At 39.4% G+C, this 21808-nt stretch overlaps 1 protein-coding gene and 1 long non-coding RNA gene across 6 annotated transcripts in view, besides 1 other annotated feature; one reads left to right on the plus strand and one right to left on the minus strand.

Annotated features, from left to right (window-relative positions):
- MACROD2-AS1 (MACROD2 antisense RNA 1) overlaps positions 1-20500 on the minus strand; it is a 45266-nt gene extending 24766 nt beyond the window's left edge. For all 3 annotated transcript variants that reach the window (NR_110318.1, NR_037841.3, NR_072988.2), the window contains exon 1: positions 20357-20500. This is a non-coding gene — a long non-coding RNA (MACROD2 antisense RNA 1). The remainder of the gene's footprint in view (positions 1-20356) is intronic.
- MACROD2 (mono-ADP ribosylhydrolase 2) overlaps positions 1-21808 on the plus strand; it is a 2057682-nt gene that overhangs the window by 913503 nt on the left and 1122371 nt on the right. The gene's annotated exons all lie outside the window — the stretch shown is intronic.
- Positions 10423-11272: an enhancer, noted in NCBI's record as "OCT4-NANOG hESC enhancer chr20:14900087-14900936 (GRCh37/hg19 assembly coordinates)". NCBI's record gives its function as "activates a minimal SCP1, AML or CMV promoter by ChIP-STARR-seq in primed H9 embryonic stem cells {active_cell/tissue: H9 hESC(primed)}" and the evidence as "EXISTENCE:reporter gene assay evidence [ECO:0000049][PMID:30033119]".

Below are 21808 nucleotides of genomic sequence, written 5' to 3' on the forward strand. Positions count from 1 at the left end.
GGTCAAAAGAGATGTCAAAAATGATTTTAAAAATATTCTGTTTCACCATATAGAGATGGGAGATTTAATAGTGTGAGGGGATGAGATCTTAGTGGTGAAAGAGCGTAAATTAAGAAGAGTTAGAGGCATCAGACTGGAAGATTGGTGGAGCTTGTTCCCTAAATCAGGAATTTAAGCCTTAACTCTCTTGTTAACTACTGCTCTGTGTTGGTACCAGGTTTGTGAATGATCAAGCCACTGGCAGAAGATTACTTTCTAAGAGTGAGAGCCTTCCCAGGGCTTCGAATCTGGTTAAGTGAAAGAATGGAGAAGACGGTAAATTTTAAGAAACCATCTGATGGATGTTATTAGGTCACAAAGTTGACATTCATCAAGCTAATAGGCCTATCGTTTATTGCAAACTACCTGAGGTCGGGTAAATTATTACCTGGATTAAAAACCTGATGCTGACACTGGTTAACACTTGTTACTTACCTTTCTGAACCTAAATTTCTCCATCTGTAAAATAAAGTATACACACCTACTCAAGAGCCAAGCAGAGGGAACGAGATAACCTATATAAGCCACCTGTATAGCTGCTGTGCAAAGAAGCTGTTGAATAAGGAGTTGGGGCTGGAAACTCTGACCTACCTCTTTAAGTTTTGTAATAAACCTTCCAGTTCTAACTAGTCAATGAATGACCCATTTTGATTCTCAGACCTGCCACTGCTTCTACCTATCTGAAAAAAACAAAACAAAACAGGAATTTGAAAATCTGTTATAGAAGTACATTTTATGTTTAGCTATTTTTTTTTCCTTCCTCTATGATCTGTAGGTATGGGGTGAAATGATTATATTGTGGTCACTTTAGAACGTTCACTCTCTTTGGGAATTAAGTAATTACAATTTCTTGAACTAACTGCCTTATCCTACAGCCTAGTACAGTGACAGCTCCAATGTAGATTCTTGGGCATGCGTTGTTTTCTTGAGAACCTTTGGAATTCTAGCCATATCTTGCTAATGATACTCACTTAGCCTCATCAAAGTCTCACTGATCTCTTTTCTGTACTTGAGATATTAAATGAAACTCTCTTTTGAGAATGTTTGAACTGGAAGGGGAGACTTCAGAATTCATTTAGTCTACTTCATTTTATAGGCCACAAACTGTTCATTTTAAGTTTGGTGTGCTCAAGACCTGATCATATTTTCCTCTCTATTCTTATATCAGAGTTAAAAGAATGTTGGCTATGCACTTCGCGCTTACACATTAATATAGAGCCCAGACTGTAGGGAGAATTGGAGACTTGAAGTGGGGAAAGAAGATTGGGGAGCAGAATTACAGTGTGTTATATAGTACTGCAGCCCCTCAAGGGAGCTGTAATTAATGTGTGCAAGGAAAACACTGCAAGGAAACTAATTTAAAGAACATACTGAAACAATTTTCTCCCAGCTTTTCAAAACAAATAAAGAAAAAAAGAAGTCACCATCAAGTTTTGAGGAAGCATGAAGAATTCCAGCAGAAAGGAAATTTGTTGAGAGCCCGAGAAGGGGCTGCTGGTTAGAATGTAAAGCCTCTTTTAAACTTAGGCTTCCTCCACCATTTGTCAGAGCTCTGTGGTCCCTGATCCATTCATTAAGCATTTCACATGTATGTCACTCTCATTATGGGTCAGAGTTTGGTTACAACCCATTGACTGCTCTTTCTTTGCATCTTGGAGACTCAGTTCTTTATACCAGTTGATATCCCGCTAGCCTTTCCTTTCTGCTTTCCTGCTTATCCTTTTTTATCCTAAGCTTGTTAGGTAACTTCAGAGTTTAGAATGCCTTGTGATGGTATGTCACTTGATATTGATGCTGTTAATTCCCTAGAGCGAAGTCTTCTCAACTTTTTGTCTACAACCCATAATAAGAATTTCATTTTCAATCCAACCCAGTACACACATACGTATGTTATTGAAAATTAAAGTTTCATGAAAAAATACTATGTGTGATATGCTTTGATACTTTTGCTTCTCTTCAACTCTATCTCATTTATTTAGGAACAAAAAAGCATCAAAACTCATTGAAGAGGGCCATTTGATTCTCAGTTCTAATCACTATGAGTATGCTTCACACATTGAGGTCTTCAGATCATCTGCAACAAGTCACTTGAAGGTGTCTGGTCCCAAACCCTCCCCCAGACCTATTGAATGAGAGTCCGTATTGGCAACTTCTAGGAATACATAGTTTAACCAGTTCCTTGGTGTGGTTTTAAAGGTTAAAAACTAGCCCCAGATGTTAACATCTTAACATTATCTACTCACAAAAAGCTATCTCCTTTGCTAGTTGATTTTTTTTTCTTTTGTATAGCTATCAATGGCTAGAGCAAGGGCTCTGATCACTTTTTTTCCCCCTTCTAGAGATAGGGTCTTGCTCTGTTGCCCAGGCTAGAGTGCGGTGGCATGATCTTGGCTCACTGCAGCCTCGGCCTCTTGAGCTCAGGTGATCCTCCTGCCTCAGCCTCCCATGTAGCTGGAACTAGAGTGCATGCCACTATGTTGAGGTAACTTTTAAACTTTTTTTTTAAAGACAAGGTCTCACTATGATGCCCAGGCTGGTCTCTTGGCTGCAAGTGATCCTTCTACCTCAGCTTCCCAAAATGCTGGGATTGCAGATGTGAGCCACCAGACCTGGCCAGGGTTCTGATCTCTGAATTCCCCCTTCTTCTTGCTGATAGAGATCAGCTCAAAAGGTACTGGAAACCTTGAACATCTAGTAATACCTTACTATATGCCAGATGCTATTCTAAGTGTACTATATGAATTAAACCTCACAACAAACAATGTTTTGTATGTGGTACTATTAACCCATTTTACAGATGGGGAAACTGAGGCATGACGAAGTCTAATTTTTCTGAAATTACATTGCAAGCAAATGACAGCACTGGGATTCAGATCTAGGCATTCTGACTCTAGAGCCCATAATCTTGACCAACACCCTGTCTAATTCTTCACTTAGCATGAAACGGGAGATAGTGATTAGCCCAATTTGTCACTGAGAGTCTTAGGTGATTTCACTAACCTACAGCGTGCTACAGGAAGATAAATTAGGGGGTCACTTGGTCCCATCTCTACTGCGTACCCATCCTCAACTCTAGGGATCTGATGATTACTCTTCCTGCACTTGTCTGTCTGTCTTAAGAAGGAGGGAGAGTAGCAGCTTTCTGCCGTTATCTCTAGCTTTGACTCATTGTCACCTGTGAGGCTAACATCACTCAAGCCTATAATAAAATTCAAATACTTCAAATACAGCAAACTTAATACTTAGTGATTATTATATCATATAACAAATGCTCTTATGGATCATTAAATTCATTATATCTAAATATTCAAATGATTCTGACCATACAAATGATTCTGACAAGACAAAGGGATAATTTATTTAAAGTATATATTTAGAGCAAAATGGCCTTCAGAAGTCATTACTAAGGAAACTTTGTCAAGTTTCCTGTTGGGGCATGCCAGCTAGTCTTCAAGGGAATTTTCTAGTATTTCTCCTAACACGTGCCACAGTAAGAGACCAATAAAGAAGAGTTGAATTCTGAAGAATGACTTCAGACAGTAATCATTGGAGGTGAATTGCGACTGTTGAACAGGCAGAGAAATAAGGAACAGATATCTGGTCAGAGGGTTCAACATATGTGAAGACTAAGGCATGAAGGATTATGTCGTCTTCAAGAGCTGGAACTGAGAGAAGGGAAAAAAAATCACACAATGAGACAAGGAAAGACTGAGTTGAGTTGAGAAGTTTCTTACAAGCTTACAAACTTGGGTCTACTCTTCTCTGCACTCAGCTGTGTATGAAAGAGACCTGTCAGGATCTCACTGTGGGGGCTCATCTATGCCCCAAGTTTAAGATGCTTGCCCCAGATATACTCCAGAGTTTTAGATGGCTTTGGGCTTGCAGTTGGCTCATACACATAAAGTATCCAGAAGTACTTGCCAGGATGAGTACACAAATTCTGTCTCTCTTCTATAGCCCTGTTCAGTTAGGAATAAAGATGAAAATGAGGGTTGTGATAGCTGTGTGTGTGTGCACATGCGTGTATGTGTGTATGGCTGTGTGAGTGTGTTAGTGTATGCATCCTTGTGTGCATGCACTTAAATATACTTATATGTACATGATAGAAAGATCCATGTTTCAGACAGGAGACTAAGATAGAAAATTAAGTAGAAATTTTATAATTTTGTTTCTATTATTTACCTGCCATGTGTTTGTCTCAGTGTTTGAACTGAGAAATAGGCTTTTAGTTACTATGGATATGATAATGTTAAAACAAACATCATTTATGGATTGTACTTTATATCTCAAAGTTTTCCGATATCCTTATTTATGTATTATTTTAATTTTTTCTTAACCTATGAAAAAAGCTGGGTGCCATGGTTCACACCTGTAATCCCAACACATTGGAAAGCCAAGGCAGGAGGACTTATTGAGGCCAGGAGTTCAAGACCAGCCTGGGCAACATAGCAAGACTCCGTCTCAACAAAAAATTAAAAAATTAGCCAGGTGTGGTGACACATGCCTGTAGTCCCAGCAACTCATGAGGCTGAGGCAAGAGGATCATTTGACCCCAGGAGTTTGAGGCTGTAGTGTGCTATGATCACATCACTGCATTCTTGCCTGGATGACAGAGTGAGACCCTGTATCAAAACATTTTTTAATTAAAAAAATTCCAAATTCCATATAAGACTATCCCTCAGTGTGCCTTCCCAGCTGCCCTACCCCGACCCTATGTCAGACTGTGATTTGTAGTATGTTTCTTCATATTTATTTTGAGTATTAATAATGTAATCTTATCATATTCACCCTGATAGGACACTGTAGAGTTTGTTTAATGAACCATCTTGGGGGAAGAATTAACCAACAACCAAGATTTGAATACAGCTTGGTCCTGGGCCTCCTTGGGCCATAGCGCAAGGCAGCTAAGTGGTGCTGGAATAATTTCTCTTTGTTTGGCTGCAGATACCGCATACTCTAAGCAATTTGCAGCCTTCCTTATATAAGAACTGTTTCTGAAAGGAAATTCCCCAAGTCCAGCTCTTCTGGTTATTTCCGTTTCAGCTCTGAAGCGCTTACTCTTTGTAGCTGAAATATGGAGAACTATTGTATTTTTTGGTTCCCTAACTCAGAGGAAACATGTGAGGAATTTGCTGTAATAACTGATCTGAGTTGGAGTGTTTGATTCCTGACACAGAGTGGAGGACAGCATTGTGAGGGGACATTTCATTCAAGATTGTTCTGTTAAGCGGGAGGGAGGTGAGCTGCTCACAGTCTATGTCAATGAGAATTTCCCTCAGGATATTTAGTGTGTGGTGGTAATGCATATTTAAGCTTACGTACAACAATGTTTGCAAAATCCCAAACTTGGAATAGAACTCTAGATCATAGTGGCCAAAGAAACTGACTTTGCTTGTAAGCAAGTTGGATCAAGATCTATATGAGAGCTTTGGGGCTAAGGGAAATAAAGCATTGTCCCAAGAAGGAAGACTTTGCCTTGACAAAACATTCTCTTACAATGTGATTCTCCTAAGAAACCATAAAAGAGCAGTTAGGGATCCATCCATGCATTTTAATATTTGAAGAGTTTCAGACTGACTGCATGTTTGACAGCTATAGGAATTTTATTTTTATAAGAATTTATCTATAAAAATAAAAGTATATCTACTATCTCTAAATCTATATATCTGAGTTTTAAAAATATAGCTTCTCTTTAGCTTTTGCTAGCATATGCTGTCAAACTCCTTCATGCTGCCAGACTCATCCAAAAATTAATTCTTCTAATGCATGCCATATTTCATGTTGTTTTGGCTGCTTTTGTACATTCTGAAGAAAACAGGGAAGATAATGGTTTCCTTTTCCAATTTAACATATACATGCGACAGAGAAATGTAAGGATGTTGCACTCCCAGAGGATCAAACCTAAAATGACAATAGATTCGACTGATTTTTTTAAAAAAGAATCCTACTTTATGTAATCTGGACAATAAGGCACACATGGTTGGATTAAAAATATTGTGTTTTTAAGATCTCTTTCTAATTCTTACTTTATAACCATAAAGAAATGAGGCTATGTGTTGTTGCAAGAAGTCTTATTGCAAACACATGCATGTGCATGTTTGTGTGTGATTTGTAAATTTAGCTCTAGAAAGGTGTAACAATAAAATGGAATTGAATTTAGCCATGGCTCTTACGAGCGTGAGTAAAGTATGCATGTGGAAACCTAAGATGTTAATGAAATCAGCATAGACTTTAATGGCATTCTGGTGTCTTCAAAAGATCGCCACCAAATAAAGCTTAATGTGTCAAAATGGAAACCCCAAGTAAGAGAAATGTGGGAAGAAGTTCAAGGAACAGAAACTGTTTGGGGAAGATGATTTGAATGTCTTCCAAAACCTTCGAGAAGCATTAAGCTCAAGCTCAGCCCTTTATCTTTGACAAATACCACACTGTGTATCTGCTTGTTATTTCGTGGTCCTGTTGCTCCTGTCAGCTTGTTAAATGGAACTCTGGTTTCAGTCAGATGAAAATGTGGTAATCTCTGTGCTTTGCTTGCCTCGGCGTCCGAGGAGCGGCTGTGCCCGACTGTGTGAGGCCGCCCAGTGCCAAGGGTAACTACTGGCACCTGCACTGACAGCAAGCAGTCTGCAGCAACAGATTGAAAATGTTCTTTTCAGATCTTTAGATTGGAACTTCAGCTTTACTTTTAAAAGTTTCATGTCCACAGCACGGTTGACAAAATAAATTACTAAACCAATTGCTTTGGGAGCTTCCAAGCTGTGACATTAAGGTAGCTGCGAGTCATCATTCTTGATGAAGGAGCAGCTTCAGAAATTGTGTGCATCTGATGGAGGTTTGGCAAAGTGTGTAAGTCTGCAGACCTATGGTAAACAGGTCTCATTTCTAAGCATTTATTTTCAGAAAGGGAAAAAAAGAGCTGTCCATTCTCAATTTCGGACTTATTTTAAATTACTCACAGGGAAATGGGTGCCCCATTTAATGGCATTGTTTATTCTCACAGAGAAATGTTTGCAGTGAAAATGCAAAATACCATTTCTTTTCTCTGCTGAGGCTCCTCATCCTATGGTGCCCACTTTACTCTCCCAGCAGAGAATGCAGAAAAGCACCAAAGGCAGCATCATGAAACGCAGAGCTGTTAATTCCCAACTCCGTCAGAGTTCTGCCCTCCTTCCCATTTGGGGAGCTGAACTGAGCCATTAGAACTTTCCTTTTACACTCCCTCTAGAATACAAGTCCTGACAAAATTAAAGGGCTTTATACCCCTAAAGCCTCAGAAATTCTACAGGGTACGGTGAGGGTAGGGGTGGGGTTGAAGGGATGGGAAATTCATAGGTTAAAAACAAAAACTTGGGCGAAAAATCCAGGCTCTGCCAGTTACTATCAGTGGGACCTCAGCTAGTTACTTAGACATCTGGCCCTCTGCTTACTTGTTTGTGAAATAGAAATGATCATATCTGCCTCATGTGCTTGTTGGAAACATATAAAACAAGATAACTTCAGGAGCAAAGTGATTTATATCTGCAATGTTGAAATGGATAAAAAATAAAATAGATATGTGAGTGCATAGATGATAAATATGTCATAAAACAAAGGCAGCAAAGTGTTAGCAATTGTAAGGAGAGATGTGGGTGTATGCATGTTTGTTATATAATTCTCTCAACTTTTCTGTGCATTTGAAAGCATCTTAATCAGGAGGAAGCGATTTAGAAGGGCAAATCTTTTCCATGTAAGTATAATTCCCGTATTCCCTGCCTCTAGTTAAATTCCAGATGTAGGCACATGGCCATACTGAACCTCAGCGGAGAATGGAAAAAAATATATCTTTTTCATGGACCACTGTCAGCCCAGCAAAAATTTAGAAATTTTATTTCCAAGGAAGAGAGATAATGGGGGAAAAATAGGCACCTTGATTGGTCATGCAAACTTAACTCTCTGTGGCACATACTACATGCCAAATAACAAATGGTGCCATTCCTATTAAGGAAGGGAAGTAATGCCTGCCCCTTTTCTTCCTCGGGGTGGAGTGTCCTGCCAAGTCTCCTGTCCTTTCCTGGGTGACCCAGGGGGCTTATTGCTTCCATCCCTGCTCAGATGGTTTTGCATTTCCGTGGCAGCATTTTACTCCACCCTCCATTGTGCATCCTAGATTCTCTCCAGAACCCCTCCCAGCGGAGGCCTGAGGTTAGCTTTTGTGTGACATCGGGTCTCTATTCTTCCATGTATTTAAGCTCAAAATGTTTCCTTATGGGGAATTTTCTTAAAAGTCTTCAATATTGTTAACTCTTTGAAACCACTGCTGTGTGAAGGCAGCTGATTGTTCCATTGTGGGTCCCATAGGAAGAAGTTCTATGGTTCCTCCTTATTGCCTTCTTGGTGGGCATCCCCTATGAAGCAATGCAGGGAGGACTCCATGATAGTGCAGGCACTTGGCCTTTGATTTCCATCCAGGGAACTCCCTCCACCTGTCTATGAGAGAACTGTGTTGTGGAAGCTCACCGGGAAGCCTATGGAAGACCAACACATAGAATGGGCAGAGGAAGACAAACCTCCAAAACACACCGACTACAACAAATACAGGACAACAAACAGCAATAACATTGAGAATAGGAAGCTCATCATGGAGGAGAACCAGGACAGACATCCACGAAACCCAAAAGAAGAAAAAAATTCAAGAAAGACTGGTCAATTGCATCTAAAGCTACTCAGTGACTAAAAAAGATAAGGGCTGGTTGTTGTCCTTTAGTTGGTGATTTAATGAAGAGCCATTCCAGGGAAGCAGTGGGGGCGAAAGTCAAATTTCACTAGGATGAAGATGACAGACAGGTAAAGGAGGGAAGAGAGTAACTGTGTAGGAATTCAGCAGCAAAAAGGAGAGGTTTGTGGTCACAAGGGTAATGCGGTATACGGAAGGATTTTGTTTTGTTTTTGTTTTTGAGACAGGCTCTCGCTCTGTTGCCCAGGCTGGAGTGCAATGGTGCAATCTTGGCTCACTTTAGCCTCGACCACCCCAGGTTCAGGTGATCCTCCCATCTCAGCCTCACGAGTAGGTGGAACTACAGGCACACACCACCATCCCCAGTTAATTTTTGTATTATTTTTGTAGGGATGGGTTTTTGCTATGTTGCCCAGGCTGGTCTCAAACTCCTGGGTTCAAGCAATCCACCTGCCTCGGCCTCCCAAAGTGCTGGGATTACAGGCATGAGCAACTGGACTAGAAAAGGTTTTTCATGATGAGAAAGACTTGAGTGTGATCAAATGCTGATAAGAAGGGACCAGAGAAGAGGCAGAAGTTAATGATCCAGAAGAGATAGGAAGTAGCTGCTAGAGAGAGGTTGCTTAGAAAGAAGGTAAGGTACCATCCAGGCAACCGGAGGAGGGATTGGCCTTGGCTAGAAGGATTCCTCTCACATTGGATAGGAGAGTAGGCATATGCCATGGTTTGCATGTAGGTCAGCTGGCACAGGGTAGAATTGTTACTGCTTTATTTAGTAAATGTATTCCTCTAAAGTCATCTGCAATCATATCACATTAGCCCTTTTTGTGACACTGTGTTTTTTTTGTTTTTTTTTTTTTTTCTGGAGTTTATTAGCAAATGAGATTTCATTACCAGCTCCTGCTAAACAATGTCTCCTCTATCCCACACTTACGCATTTCTGAAACCAAATTCAAGTCCTAACATTTATTTTCACTGAAGGTCATACTATTAGATTTAGATCATGTTTCCAATTTGTCAAAATCTTTTTATATTTTAATTGAACTCACAACATATCACTGATGTGTTTCAGTCTTGTGTTACCCATACATTAAACAATCAGCTGTATGTATGTCTTCATTTAAAGAACTGTCTTTAGCTCTATTTTACTTTTATTTCATCAACTACTCTCTCCCCCAACCCCCTGAGACTCAAGGGAAGAAGAATTAAACTGAATGCTTTGATGATAACTGATAAAGCCTTTTGTCCTAAGGAGTCCTCCCAAATTGGATTAAGAGGATTCATTTGTGTTTTGCGGTGTTTATATTTGAGGAAGACAAGGATGTGAAAACTCTCACTCTCTCTGTGTTCATTCTCACAAATAGATGGATACCGTCACTTTTCAAGGCTTGTCCATCTGGAATGCATCACAAACACATTGCTGGGAAAGTAAAAGTTCCAGAAAGAGCTTCGTTTTCTCCTGGAACTGTGAAATTGAGTGGCCTAGTTCTCTCCTCCATGTTGTTGTAAATTCACAGGAGTGTAATATAAGCTACATTTTTAACCATTTGGGATAGCTTATGATTGAATAATGCTTCCTGCCAGACATGTTTTCCCTTTATTTATCACTTACTTTTCTCTCTAATTTCAGCAACAGCAATTGCTGATTATGAAAATGACTCTAATTGTTCAACCTTTCATAACCACATTTAACTACCAAAAACAATCTATCTGCTACTTTGAAAAGCAGTTAAACAAGCAAGCAATTTATTCCTGCCTTCTTGCAAGCAACCAGGAACAGGGCCGTGTTCTCTTTGTTCCTTGTACTGCTTTGGAACCATGAGTGCCTCTTTCTAACTTGAATCAAAATCTGCTTGTTCCTAACTGCTGCCTTTGCAATCAGTAATTTGACTCAGTGGGCTTAATTCAAAGCAGGCACTCACATTCTTTAGACTCTTTGTCAGTCTTCCAGGAAATCAAGTTGAACAACAAAAACAAACAAACACCGGCCCTAAATTAAACCAGATAGGGAGGAAGAAACGTCAATGAATGATGAAGCAAAATAACAAGAGTCAGGAGAAATAAATAGAAACCATTTCAAGGCTCCACCTGCCGTGGCCCCATTAGCCCCTCCTTTACCTCCCTTTCCTAGAGGAAATCAAAGCAACTCCTATGAGCAATCATTCTAGTCAGCTTCCAGACTTCCAGAGCCTGCTGAATCTAGCTCCTCCCACCCTGCCCCCAGCAGGTGAGCACACCTGGGATCGCTGCAGGCTGACATTGCATCGTGATTTCTCTGCATCTCAAACAGCCGGCAGCCCTGCAGAAACCTCTTCCCCTTGCTGAGATAAAGTATATGAATTAATTCCCTTTTGAGTTAACCCGCGCCTGGTTCCTCTCAGTAACTACTGGTACTGGGATAGAGAAGGAGTTGGCAGCTCTCTTAGAAAACCAGATAGTTTTCCTTCTTTGTGATGTGCTCAACTTTCTTTTGCCCCAGGCTTGAAAATACATGCCCTGTCTTTAACTTTCCTTGTGTGAATAACCAGGGCTCAACAAGGTAATAGTTGGGTAAAATTGTTACAGAGGCATTCCAAATCTAAAACAGAGATGTTCCCTGGTAAATCTGATCTTATCTAATGTTTCCTAAATGTAAATAGGCCAGAGGGTGTTCCTTTCTGAATACCCTTTAACCAGATACGTTGGAAATCTATTATGTATTGTTTATTTTAATTTCGTTAAAAATGTTCTCAGGTTTGAAGTGTGATTTCTTTGCGCTCTCATTTAATTTTTTCTTCTTTTTAGAATAAATTATTGAAGACAGAACTTTTTCAAGGTATTTATAGATATATCTGAGGTATTCATGATTTATATAAAGTGTACAGGTGAAGAGTTACCTTCTAGTATAGACCTTAAGCATGTTATCATAGCTATGTGCAATAAAGGTGATATTAAGTTTATTTAATATTGCTACCATTTCTTCTAATCCTTGAATTTTCTCTGGAATAAAGCTGCAGTGTAATGAATGAGATTAATAAAAATAGAAGGGTTATGTGTAACTGGAAAGTGGGGAAATCACTTTGTTCATTTATGGTAGAATATTTAATTGAGGTTCCTCCACACATTCACATTAGGAAAGTCACTTGGTCTTTAGGTTTAAAAATAATAATTTAACTTCAAACAATCCTTAACTCTTCAAAATGTTTAAGGAATTAAGGGCAAAAAAACCTAGATATGTTCCACAACTTTGGTGACAATAAACATGAAATATGGAATCCAATTTTTGAAGAATATAGCCAGTCATCCCTTTAAACCACAACCATTTTTACATAATGTATAGAATTAAAAAACACTGGTGAATCAACTCTGTGCTGTGATGTGTATTACCAGTCTATTGGATCTGTGTATTGGGTGTTTGGGGAGCATATCGACATTATGGGCAATGCAGTTATTTCCCATGACATTTTAAAAATCCATTTCTGTATTACATATTCCAATCTAGTGAAAATTACATCTACTCTATTTAGATTTGGCATCCAACACTTGTTGGCCATGGCATGTGATGTAATTTAAACTGCTCATGTACATTTAGGAGGAGATTGATTTATAGCCGTCTTTGCCTGAGACAAGCACAATTTAAACTAATTCTTATTGATCCAGAAAAATTTAAGATTGGTTTTGAAAATTCTCAAGAATAGAGAGTTTTGGATACATTTGAGCCATTTTGCTAAGCATAATTGTCATGTATATAAAAGCATGAAACTGTTAACACTTATCCTTCTTTGCCTTGGCGTCTTTGTTAGTCATTGCATACCTAAAGGCTAATTTCTGCTCCAGATGCTGTGATGTCTGCCCAGCTGGCCCAGCTGTTAGGATATATGCTATTTGCAAATGGCAGCATAAATAGCATATCCAGAATATTTTGCAGGCTGGGGCTTTGCCATTAAAGGCTAAGATATATTTAGTGTCAGGGATAATTGTTTGGTATATTGTAACCAGAATGGAGCTGACAGAATGCCAATAGGTCTAGCAGAGTGACTCATAAAATAGTCCAATGAAGAAATTATTTACTCAAACATTTCCATATTAGCATGTAATGTGCACTACAAATTGGATTTCCTGTGAATGTACAATCATTGTGTGCAGAGTTTGTAAAGGTGTCTGATATTGCAAATGTATCATTTAAGAAGACCAAATTGCATCAGATTCTCTAACCAAGTCTCTTTTAGCATCTAAAGGAGTAGTTCTTCTAATTATTTTCTGATTGCAGGATAGCCTTGTTGGAAATGCTCAACTTGGAGTTGGGAAGAACTGGGTTCTAAATTCTAGCAATTTCTATGATGACCCGGTGACATTAAACAAATCTCCCATCTTTCCTAATCTTTTCTATTTCTGGTTTCTCAGTTTATAATATTGAAGATACCTGCATTTTAACTGTTTTTGTGTTTTGTCAAAGAAAGGTGCTTTATACATAGTCTAGGTCTATTTGCTTTTCAACTTTTCCCCAAGATCTTCTGTCTTTAGATGTATAGTTTTTTCCTGCTTTTTTTTGTATGTATCTGTTTTTAGCTACCTAGGTATTCATAAGGTGATTAGAATGCAACGGTTACATGGCTTCTTAACCACCCCTAATTTAGACAAGCATTTCTAAGTAGGACTTCTAATATTCAAGGCAAAGAATATTCTAGAACTCAGAAAGTTTGCTTTTATATTCCAAATTATTTTATTGTTACATCTAAAAAACAGTGGTGTCTGCCCTTATCTGATTCTGGATGCTGCTAAAATATACTGCTGGACAGAAATTTGATTCATTAACTTTTTTGGATCTTAACCTTTTAAAGGTGCAGTATGTCCATTGAATCTACAGCTTTACCGAAGCCCTTGACAAGGCACTGGTATCCACAAGGAAAGGCGAATGTTGATATACAGTGACTGGAACTGATTTTTATCAATGTGGATGGTACCAGACTAAGAAAATTATCCATCTGGGCCATGCAATCTGTCTTTCCAGAAAATCACTGAACTACATATCTAATAACACAGTCAGTGAGATAATTTCCTTTTATTGAGTAATTTCCTCATTTGGTAGGGATTTTAAAAGCCTAGGGGCATTTTGAGCATATGGTTCAGGAACATTATTTTAAAATGTGAATTATCAATAGAATTTCAATACAATCAAAGTAAAATAACTTACTTCCTAAGTGTTACAAATATAAGCAGGATATTTCTACAAAGGCTGTTGCTTTTGAGTCAGAGTTAGGAGCTGGAGATTAAAAGCTTTTCTTCAGCATTGTTAGAGCAGGGTGCATCATTCTCAATTGCCAGCGGTCAATTCTCTCCAGACACAGTTGATCGCTCCTCCCACATGAAACAATTTCTTCACTTGAATTCCTCCAACCTCGCTGGCTGTTTCTTCCCAATCTCTTTTGCTGGTTCCCAGTTGTGTCACTCCCCACTCATTACTGAAGAGCCCTAAAGTTCAGTCCTTGAACTCCTTACCTATCAACAATCATCCTTGCTTATCTCAGCTAGATTCCGGGCTTTGTATACTGATCAATTACAAATTTGTATCTCCAGCCCAGACTTGTCTGCTGAATTTCCAACTTGTACATTCTGCTGCCTACTCAGTATCTCCACTTGGATTTCTAGTAAACATCTAAAATGTGTCATCTCCAAAACTGACTTTCTAATTTATCACAACACTTACTTTCAAAAAATACATGCACACCTTCTGTAGTTTCCTGCCTCTTAGGTCACAGCAACTCTATTCTTCCGCAGTTCAAGCCAAAATTTTCGGTGATCTCCTTGACTACCCTGTTTCTCTTACTTTCTCTATAAAGTCTCTTAGAGAAAATCTTGTTAGTGCTACCTTCAAAATATCATGGTGTGAGTTCAAGCAATGTACTTTTTCTTTTCCTTGCATACTTACTCCAGTGGTCTACCTTGTTGAAATATCTAAGATAGGTGACGGCACGGGCCTCCAGGGCCACTCTTAATTATAGGCCTTGTGCCTCAGGGTTTCCTAGGCTGGCGGTGCGTTGGGGGAGGGGGGGGCGGCGGGGCGGGGAGGGGGTGGAGGGTTGGGAAAGAGAAGAACCTCCATAAAGGTAGAAAATGATTCATCTTATATTTCTCTGCAACTTTTTCACCAGTGCTCAGACTGAAAAAAGATGATGACTGGTGGTCATTAAAAAGTTAATTTTCCGTTTACGAGCAAACCTTTTTGGGTCTTTGAGGTCATATATAGACCACGATAAGCAAATTATCTTATAGATTGTATCTATTTTCAGCTGTTATAAAAGTGTTTTAAATTAGACCAAGGCTATTTTTAGTTTTTGGAAAGTTAGCTTATAACAAAAATCTTGCTTTTTCATAAAAAAGTTAAGCATATTAAAAAACAGAAAAATAATACCATATGGAAATAGAGTTGGCTGGGTGTGGTGGCTTGTGCCTGTAATTCCAGCACTTTGGGAGGCTGAGGCGGGTGCATCACTTGAGGCCAAGCCTGGCCAAACATTGTCTCTACTAAAAATACAGAAATTAGCCTGGCGTGGTGGTACACGTCTGTAATCCCAGCTACTGGGAAGGATGAGGCATAAGAATTGCTTGAACCTGGAAGGTGGAGGTTGCTGTGAGCCGAAATCATGCCACTGCACTCTAGCCTGGGTGACAGAGCAATACTCTGCCTCAAAAAATAAAAATAAAAAATAAAAAATAAAAAAAAAGAAAGAAAGTAGAGTTAAATACCACAGATATAGGAAGTCTAGACAATATCAAAGGAATAAGATGATGCGATTTTGAACTAGGAAAGGGTAGATGAGAGCATTTATTTATCTAAGATCTTTTGTATAGATAAGCAGAGTAAACAATCACCCTTATATATGTAGCTCTTTAGTCTGCACCAAGACACTGTCCAAGTGGGAAACAGGGAGACTCAAGCAAATATCCTGTTGGTGTTGTCTCTTTATCCTACTTTAAAAAACACTAGGATCTGGACTGTGAAATCTGAGAGCAGTCTCTGAAGAGACACAGATGAAAGTGAAAATGCTGCTCTATTTTCTATCACCCAATTTCTTGTCACAGTTACTATCATTAAAACATATTAAAAACATGGAAAGGGCTGAAAGGGAAGGTACAAATCTAATAAGATTTGTAATATAAATAACCCTCAGTATGTTTTTATTCCCGATTGCCTTGCCTCCTTAGGTTCTGATATTTAAAGATTGGGTTAAATATCTCCTTTTCTGTGTATAAGGTATTGGCACAATTTTTTTTTTTCTTATTCACTTCTCCTCATCAGGCAGGTGGTTGAAACTACGTAATGCTTGTCTTTTATGGCCATTTTCAGAGAGAATCATTTTCACCAGGGGACGATCTCCTGTGTTTTTTGTTTTGTTTTGTTTTTTTACCCTTTTCTCTCAATCTCATCTCAAAGATAAATGGGAGTTAACAACTCTGGTTAAGATTATGCTCATTTTCAAATGCTTTCTTTATACTTTTTAGCCTTCCATAATATAAATAATATTGTGGTGCTATTGTAATAACAAATCCAGGAAAAAGAAACACCTTACTGTCCCAGACTGATCTTAGTTTCAGAAAACTCTGCCCTCAGATAGTGGTTATACATAATACTTATCCACTGCACCCAATCACCAGGGTGCTATTTTGTAATGAGAAGTCCAGAGAATTTTCTGAAGGCATGACTTAATCATCAAATTACCAGATTTTAAAAGGCTGTTACATGTTTCTATCTCTGTTCATTGATTCTGCATGAGTCATCATCCTTGGAAAGGAAAATGACATTTCCCCCATTGGAAATTGGCAGAATACATACAGAAGGCTTAACTTCTAAAGTTCTCTGCATATGGGGCTCTTGAGCTGTTATATCCTCTAGAAACCTTGGTCATTCAGATATTTGTGATTTGTATAGCGTAGAATGTACTTCACCAATCTTCCTTCTCCACAGAGTATGACAACATCTCTACTGCGTTCATATGACCTTTTTATGTTTATTGTACAACAGTATTTGCATTCGAATTGGTACCTTAAATTATAATCTCTAAACAAGATTTCTTGGTGCGTTTCATTGGAACAGATTCAAAGAAAGAGATACAGGATAGGATTATCAATGGCCTGGCTCGCAGGGACTTATATAGTATGTTCCTGACCTCTCTGGTGGAGTTTAATGGAAATGGCTTTGGAGACAGGAAATACTGGGTTCCAGCCTTGTCTCTGTGGCATACTTACTCCATGAATTTAGGCAAGTTATTTGTCTCTTCACATGGTCATTGAGAAAATGAAATAACAAATCTGTATCAGTAAGGCACCTGGGACAGGTAGCCTCTTGATGGATATTACTTTTCTTTTTCCCAGGCTGTCCTGTTGCCATCTTCACACTTTTGCCTAAATGCAGAGTTTGTTTGTTTGTTTGTTTGTTTTTTAATAGCTAGGGCATTATTTAAACATTTTTGTTAATTGAGAAATATCTGAAGCAGTTTTTAAAAAAATAGGGAGCACTGGCCAGGTGCGGTGGCTCACACCTGTAATCCCAGCACTTTAGGAGGCTGAGGCAGGTGGATCATGAGGTCAAGAGATCAAGACCATCCTGGCCAACATGGTGAATCCCCGTCTCTACTAAAAAATACAAAAAATTAGCTGGGTATGGTGGTGCGTGCCTGTAGTCCCAGCTACTCAGGAGACTGAGGCAGGAGAATCACTTGAACCCTGGAGGCAGAGGTTGCAGTGAGCCGAGATTGCATCACTGCACTCCAGCCTGGTGACAGAGCAAGACTCCGTCAAAAAAAAAAAAAGGAAGCATTATGTTTGAGTGCTCAAGCAGTTTTAGTATATGAACAAGTCAAACTCAATATAGTCATGCCAGAGACATTAGCTGCATGTGTGGGAATGAGAGTGGAGTGTCACAGGAGGCTGAAATCAGAGCCAACCCAGAGTGTTGAACATGATTTCAACTCTTCCAATTGACATGATATTTTTTCCCTTTTTGAGGAGGAAAAAATGCTCTAGCTTGCTATATCTTGTGTTTGCCACCTGTATAGTGGGCTGCAAAAGCAGGGGGTGTGGGAGCCAAAGGCAATGGCTAATTAGAAAAGTGTATTTGAAATGTCTTGAATGCTTCAATAAATAAAATTAACTGACACTATAGCCTTACCAAATTGATGATAATTATATTGGGTTTCCTGTGATTCCAGTGAATGTGGGTTTTAACTAAATACATCCACCTTATTGTCAGTTCATCCTTGCATTATTGTGGGAGAAAAACTTCCAGTGTTCAATTTCTTGTATTGTCAGTCATACAACTTAAATTTTTAATTTCAGTATAATCTTGCCTTCTCCTGCCTATTTACAACTTCCTGAAAACATATCGAGTGTGGATCCCGTACGTAAGTGAGATTGTCTTCGCTAAGAGCTTCTTGCAATCACAGGAAAAGGGGAAAAAATGTTGTTACAGCTGATCATTGCCAGAAGGTGAAAGTTCAAGAAGTAGAGAAAAAGAAGATTGTAGCATGTAATCAGAGTTCTTGGTTGCATGCTACAGAATCCATTCTATGTAGTTTAATCTGGGAACAATGCAGCCAGGGATGACACCTCAAAAATGCCCAGCCTCAACACTAGACTGTCCTAGCAGAAACACTACTGCTGCTATTACCCACATATTGTCACTTACGACATTAAAGTCCAGGGGCCAGAAACTCTGGCACAGCTCCTCAAGAGAACCAGATACTCTGCCGCCATGCTTTCTCCCAAGGAGCCATTCTTTCATGCAGCTAATAGTTTGTGTTGCTTGCTTTCACCTTCAACATTCACACATTTGGGTTGGCTTGGTGGCTCCACATTCATTACAGGCTAGTTCCTGGGGAACCTGGGAAATGTAGTTTTAGCTTTTTGTCTTCTATAGTATAGCAATCAAAGTAAGCTAGAAGGGTGTTGGAATAGATGCTGGTTGAACTGCTTGTTAGTATCTGCTCCTGATGGAATTGAACTGAAAGATGTTACAGGTGTTTACTCCTCAGTGGTCCATGTTGGAATGTCACTTTCTGTTTTCAGAAGCTTATTACTATATGTAAAAAACAACAACGACAAAAACTATTGCTTTTTTCTTCTGCACTTGATCAAAATTCTGTTTAGGTATCCACATTTTACCATTATATGTATTCAACAGTGCAGAATGCTGGTGACCAGTTTTACTTGTTAACCAAGGCATGGCTGAGTCCTCAGAGACTTTTAATTTGACTCCATTCTTAGGATGATGTGCTGCATTTCTGCAATGGCACCCACTGGCGTGCAAAAGAAAAACTGGATTTTCCAGGTTAAGCAGAAACATGGACGCCATACTAAACTCTGAACAGACACATTCATGCATCTTCTTGTCCACCAGCTGCAGGAACTCAGGGGTTTTACTACTTCATCCTTTTATGCCCAACACCCCATCAGCTCCAGAGGCAGCTTGGCTGCATGCCAATGTCAGTGTAGAATTATTCTATCCTCACGGGTTCATATCGTTTGTCAAGTCACCAAACACTCAGAAATATTGATGAGTCATCTACCTAGATGTTTTTGTTCATTTGTAAGACTAACTTGTACAGAGTTTTGAGTTTTCTTAAGATTTTAGAGATATAAATAAACCATCAATTAAGGATTTAGAATTCACTAAAAATAAAAGCTTTAAAAGGTTGTGATTTGAAAGATATGCTTAGTGCTGGAAGGTGTTTAAGGGTCAACTATTCTGACTTAGAGGAAGATAAAGCAAGTAGTAGGTAAGGGATTTGCCAAAAAATTACATAGCTGGTTAATATCAATGCTGAGATTGAAACTCAAGTCCACTGCCTGCTGGACGGGGAATGTTTCAAAGGTGCTTGATACCAAAGCATAGGTCCTAAGTCCTCATCATCCTGTATGAAGCATGCACATGATGCCACATGGTAGCTGAGGCCATGCTCTGAAGGATGTCTACATGAAACAACCATGAAAAATCATATAATATGGGTTACATTCCCAACCCACATCTTCTCAAATTCACTAGAAGGTGTCCATTTTGTTGACAAAACTGAATTTGAAGTATATGCAATAAATGACACCAACATTATTTTTATGGCTAAAAGTACTTGAAGAGCACGCTTCCTGTTTTTAATCACTAGCGTTCCTTTAGCTGCAGTCAGCCATATTTGTTGCTTACATTATAAGCATATGTTTGTTTGGTTTGCTCTAATTCTTTGCCCTCTTAAGGGAAAAGCAAGGGAGGTTTATGAAGGGCCTTAAAATGAGAGAAACTAATTAATTGCTGACTTTTTATATTTATCAGCAAAGGAAAACATTTCTCTACTCTCATAACGCTTCTGACACCAAATGTGCGGATTTTCTACACATTACAATTCTCATACCAACTAGGTGTCCTATAATTTAATTCAGTTCTGGCTCTGGAGTTAGCACAGACCCCACAGTTTAAGGAATCAGTCCCACAGACTGCTCCACTTCAGATGGTGATCATAAGCCTGGGCTCCCTATACTTCTTACTGACAGGCTATAAATCAGAGGTTTCTCACGATTCCCTCAAGTTCAATAATTTGTTAGAATGGCTCACAGGACTCAGGAAGACACTTGACTCACCATTGTCAGTTGATTATAAAGCACACAACTCAGAAACAGCCAAATGAAAGAACGGGGTATGTGGGAAGGGCCGTGGGGAATCCACGTCCTCGCTGGGCTCGCCACCCTCCCCGCACCTCCATGTGTTCACCAACCTAGCAGCTCTTGGAACCCCTTTATTTGGAGTTTTTGTGGGGGTTCCATTACATAGGTGTGATTGATGACATCATTGGCCACTGGTGACTGGACTCATCTCCAACCCCTCTCCCCATCCTGGAGGAGGGAGAGTGGAGCTGAAAATTCCAACCTTTTAGTCACATGGTTGGTTCCTCTGGCAAGGGGCTCCCATCCTCTGAGTCACCTTATTAACGTAAACTCGGGTATGCTTGAAAGGGGCTTATTAAGAGTAACAGAAGATGCTCTTCTCACCCCTATCACTCGGATAATTCCAAGAGTTTCAGAAGCTCTTCTGTCATGAACAGAAAAATTCTCCTGTCACCCCATCACTTAGAAATTTACATGAGTTTGCTGGGCGCGGTATCTCACGCCTGTAATCCCAGCACTTTGGGAGGCCGACACAGGCGGATCATGAGGTCAGGAGATCGAGACCATCCTGGCTAACACGGTGAAACCCCGTCTCTACTAAAAATACAAAAAAATTAGCCGGGCGTGGTGGCGGGAGCCTGTAGTCCCAGCTACTCATGAGGCTGAGGCAGGAGAATGGTGTGAACCCGGGAGGCGGAGCTTGCAGTGAGCCGAGATTGCGCCACTGCACTCCAGCCTGGGTGAGAGAGTGAGACTCCGTCTCAAAAAAAAAAAAAGAAATGTACATGAGTTTTGTGTCAGGAACCAGGGCAGAGGCCAAATGTATATTGGTATTAAGTCACAATCAATACGTACTTTTTAAAAATGTAAATTTATGTATAAATGAAAATAACTACATTTCTTGCTTTCACAAACCTTGTTGTCAATGTGGAATGATTTCTCACCAGTTTAAACACAGTTGAGTTCTTACATAAGGAAAAATGGGAAGCAGAGGTTAAAACATGTATATTAACTGTGGTGTTCTGAGTGTAGACTCTGGAGTTCAACTATCCAGGTTTGACTTCTTCCATTTCTGAGCTATGAGGTCTCAGGCAAGCTACTTGCCTTCTCTTTACTTTAGCATTTCATCTATAAATTTAGTATGTCACAGGCACCTAACTTTTAGCATTGTTGGGAGATTGAGATGGTGCATGTCAAATGCCTGCCATGACACCTTCTCAGAGCTGGTACTCAATAACAGTATTAAACATTTTGTCTGGGCACAGTGGCTCATGCCTGTAATCCCAGCACTTTGCCAGGCTGACGCCAGAGGATCACTTCAGGCCAGGAGTTCAAGCCAGCCTGGGAAACATAGGGAGAGCGTGTCTTAAAAAAAAAAAAAAAAAAAAAAAAGTCTATCTCCTGTTCCCATGTTTTCATTCATTTTTT

The sequence above is a fragment of the Homo sapiens genome, chromosome 20, assembly GCF_000001405.40.
Source record: "Homo sapiens chromosome 20, GRCh38.p14 Primary Assembly".
In the NCBI taxonomy this organism is placed as follows: Eukaryota; Metazoa; Chordata; class Mammalia; order Primates; family Hominidae; genus Homo; species Homo sapiens.